The sequence below is a fragment of the Homo sapiens genome, chromosome 5 (assembly GCF_000001405.40).
Source record: "Homo sapiens chromosome 5, GRCh38.p14 Primary Assembly".
Taxonomy (NCBI): domain Eukaryota; kingdom Metazoa; phylum Chordata; class Mammalia; order Primates; family Hominidae; genus Homo; species Homo sapiens.
In genome coordinates this window covers 91,338,668-91,342,717 of record NC_000005.10, presented here as the reverse complement: position 1 = coordinate 91,342,717, position 4,050 = coordinate 91,338,668, and the positions used below count along the sequence as shown (strand labels likewise).

General features: G+C 43.2%; 2 annotated features.

Annotated features, from left to right (window-relative positions):
- Positions 3,241–3,835: an enhancer, noted in NCBI's record as "OCT4-NANOG hESC enhancer chr5:90634700-90635294 (GRCh37/hg19 assembly coordinates)". NCBI's record gives its function as "activates a minimal SCP1, AML or CMV promoter by ChIP-STARR-seq in naive H9 embryonic stem cells {active_cell/tissue: H9 hESC(naive)}" and the evidence as "EXISTENCE:reporter gene assay evidence [ECO:0000049][PMID:30033119]".
- Positions 3,372–3,666: a silencer, noted in NCBI's record as "tiled region #9063; HepG2 Repressive non-DNase unmatched - State 23:Low". NCBI's record gives its function as "represses a minimal TATA promoter and a strong SV40 promoter by Sharpr-MPRA in HepG2 cells {active_cell/tissue: HepG2}" and the evidence as "EXISTENCE:reporter gene assay evidence [ECO:0000049][PMID:27701403]".

Below are 4,050 nucleotides of genomic sequence, written 5' to 3'. Positions count from 1 at the left end.
TTTTTTTAAGAGGAAAAAAAATCTCTCTTGGCCGGACATGGTGGCTCACACCTATAATCTCAGCACTTTGGGAGGCCAAGGCGGGCGGATCACTTGAGGTCAGGAGTTCAAGACCAGCTTGGGCAACATGGTGAAACCCCGTTTCTACGAACAAATACAAATATTAGCCAGGTATGGTGGCACATGCCTGTATTCCCAGCTACCTGGGAGGCTCAGGCAGGAGAATCTGGTAGTTAGACGTTGCAGTAAGCCAAGATCATGCAACTGCACTCCAGCCTGGGTGACAGAGTGAGACCTTGTCTCAAATAAATAAATAAATACATATTAGCCAGGCATGGTGGTAACCATCTGTAATCACAGCTACTTGTGGTGGGAGAATCACTTGAGCCCGGGAGGTGGAGGCTGTAGTGAGCTGAGATCAGGCCACTGCACTCCAGCCTGGGTGACAGAGCGAGACTCTGTCTTAGAAAGAGAGAGGGAGAGAGAGAGAGAGAGAGAGATCGTTTCTCGCTCTGTCATCCAGGTTGAAGTTCAGTGGTGTGTTCATAGCTCATTGTAACTTGGCAGTCCTGGCTGAAGCTATCTTCCTGCCTAAGCCTCCCTATTAGCTGAGACCATAGACACATGCCACCATGCCTGGCTAATTTTTTTAACATATTTTGTAGAGACGGCATCTCACCCTGGTGCCCAGGCTGGTTTCTAACTCCCAGGCAAGTGATCCTCTCACCTCAGCCTCCTAAAGTGCTAGGATAACAGACGTGAGCCACCACACCCAGCTGTCTCAGATAATTTCGAACAAATGAATATCTATGTTCCTATAGAATGGTGATTCTCAAAAGGGGCAATTTTGCCCTCTTCACTGTCTACTTCCAGGCCCAGGGAACATTTTGTAATGTCTGGAACACATTTTTGGTTGTCATATTGTGGGTGGGAGCTGCTATGGACACCCGAGGGTAGAGATCAGGGAAGCTGCTAAACATCCTACAATGCACAGCACAGCAAAGATATATCCCGTCCAAAATGTCAATAGTGCCAAGGCTGAGAAACCTTGATGTAGAAATAGTTTTGTTTCTTTTTTTTGAAATATGCAATGTGCCCCAGGGACCTGGGACATAATGTAGTGCACAGGGAGAGAAAATAATTCAGCACAAACCCTTTCTGCCATGTGCACTGCCGGAACCCTCAACTGTGCTGCCATAAATTCTTACCTGGACTTCTCCAATAGCCTCTCCACTGGCCTCCCTGTTTCTACTTCTGCCTTCTCTAGTCCCTTCTCTCCTAGAGCAGCCAGAGTAGGGGTTTCCCATTGCTAGCCTAGATCATGATAAGCTTCCTATCTTATGAGACTCTGCAGGATTGCACGCCTGCCTCTCTCTGCAGCCTCACACCAAGTACCCTGGAGCCATACTGGCTTTCTTTAAGTTACTCAATAGCTTTGTCTGACTCCTCTTTATCTTCTTTGTTTGTTTTGTTTTTGTTTTTGAGACCAAGTTTGGCTCTTGTCACCCAGGCTAGAGTGCAGTGGCATGATCGCAGCTCACTGCAACCTCCACCTCCCAGGTTTAGGTAATTCTGGTGCCTCAGCTTCCCCAGTAGCTGGGATTACAGGCACCCACCATCATGTCCGGCCAATTTTTGTATTTTTAGTAGAGACTGGTTTTCACCATATTGGCCAGGGTGGTCTCAAACTCCTGACCTCAAGTGATCCACCCGCCTCAGCCTCCCAAAGTTCTGAGATTACAGGCATGAGCCACCATGCCCGGCCTCCTCTTTATTTTCTTATCATTCACATCTATCTTAATTCCAGTAAGCCTTCCTTAACTCATCATCACTAGATGAGGCCAGTCTGCTCTAAGCTCTCTTATCTCTGTGCTTTTCTTTTTAAAAAATTTATTTTATTTATGTTTTTAGAGATGGGGTCTTGCTACATTGCCCAGGCTGGAGTGCAGTTGCTATTCACGGTGACATTTATTGGAGTAAATGTCACTTACATTTATCAATATACCTTAATGAATCGTTTGCTATTAAAGACGAGAAACTGAAAAGCATAGGTAGGAAAAGTTTAAACTGGTAAACTGCTTTGAATAATAAAATAAGAATTAGAAGGCTTGGGAATGGGAGGTGGCTGGGGAGGAGAGACCTGCAGCAAAAATATAACTGGAAGTGATCTGTTAAGGAGATATAGAAATTCTCTATGACGGGGACTAATTAGTAGACTTTAGTAGAGTCACAGTAATGATTTTGAACTTTTTTCCAGTACTGTGTAGCTCTGCAACCCTTTACAGTTAATACAAATTCCAGTAAAACTTACACCCTTGACCTTGTATTAGTGGTGCTTTGTGAAATGGGAGTAATTTAGGTTGTGTCCAATGTTGGGTACAGGAGGCCTGGTGCGGTGGCTCATGCTGTCTCTACTAAAAATAAAAAAAGTAGCCAGGCATGGTGGTGCATGCCTGTGGTTCCAGCTACTTGGGAGGCTGAGGCACAAGAATCGCTTGAACCTGGGAGGCGGAGATTGCAGTGAGCTGAGGTAGCGCCACTACACTCCAGCCTGGGTGACAGAGCGAGATTCTGTCTCTAAATAAATAAATAAATGTTGGGAACAGGATGGAAAAAAGGCATCAGAGAGGGCAGAGCCAGAGATGCCAACAAATAACAGCAAATTGGAGTAGAATGACTAAAATGTTAGCCACTCGAGGATTACTGGGATAGACTCTGAGTTTTCACTGTGTTGTAAAAAGGGCACGAGTTATTTAAATATTAGAAGTCTAATTGCCTCCAAACAGGTGACAGGCACTGGTATCCAGATTACATAACAATGTAAAATGAATAAAGAAAGGATTGAGTCACATGATATCTAAGTTCTCTTTGTTTTTGAAATTTGCTTTCTTCATTCTAACATCATTAACACCATTAAGCATAAATCTGAGAATAATTGCTTTTAATTTTTAATGTTGAATGTGTATACATTTCCTCTCATATGTCCAAGTGTTTTTCTTCTTTTGTTTTCATTTTATTTTATTTATTTAATTACTTTTTTGAGACAGTTTTGCTCTGTCGCCTGGGCTGAGTGCAGTGGCACCATCTTGGCTATCTTTAACATTCATCTGACAGACAAAAGAAAATAATACTTACCTTTTATCTAAAGTTCCCAGAAATGTTTGCAACTCCCTAATTAAAAGTCACCAAGTGACTCATTCTGGAAAGAAAAGGGGAAAACCAACTCTAATGGAATACGGGAAAAAAATTAGCAATCTCTTCTCATCTACTATTTTAATCGTACTGTTAGCTGAAATATATTCCAGGTTCTGTTTTTAAGTGCTTTCATATATCAATTCCCTGAACATTATCAGCTCCACAAGGTAGTACTGTTATTATCCCCATTTCACAGGGAAGGAATCTGAGGCTCAGAGAAGTTAAGTAACTTGCTCAAATTTAAGAGGTTAAGTAACACAGCTAGCAGGCAGTGAGCCAGGATTAGAAAACAGGCAATTTGCCTATGAAAGCTACCCATTCCAAAGGCTAAGCAATGTGCATTCATGCCTCAGTGTAATTAAGTTCATGCTGACTGGTTGGCTTTTGAATACAGTACAGTGTTAGCTAAAACAAAGGATGACAATCTCAGTGAATGCCACATCTGTACTTGGTTTGCTCAGTCCAAAGAAGCATCTTTGAATTCTATCATTCTCTTACATCCCATATCCAACTTGTCAGGAAACTTAAATTGCTCTGCTTTCAAGATATACCCAGACTCCAACCATTTCTCACCATCTTCACAACTACCATCCTGGTCTTTGTCACTGTCACCTTGACATTGCATTATTGCACTGACCTCCAGACATTATCTCTGCTTTCACCCTTGCCCCTTTAACAATTTATTCTCGGCCGGGCGCGGTGGCTCACGCCTGTAATCTCAGCACTTTGGGAGGCTGAGGTGGGCGGATCACAAGGTCAGGAGATCGAGACCATCCTGGCTAACACGGTGAAACCCCATCTCTACTAAAAATACAAAAAATTAGCCGGGCCTGGTGGCGGGTGCCTGTAGTCCCA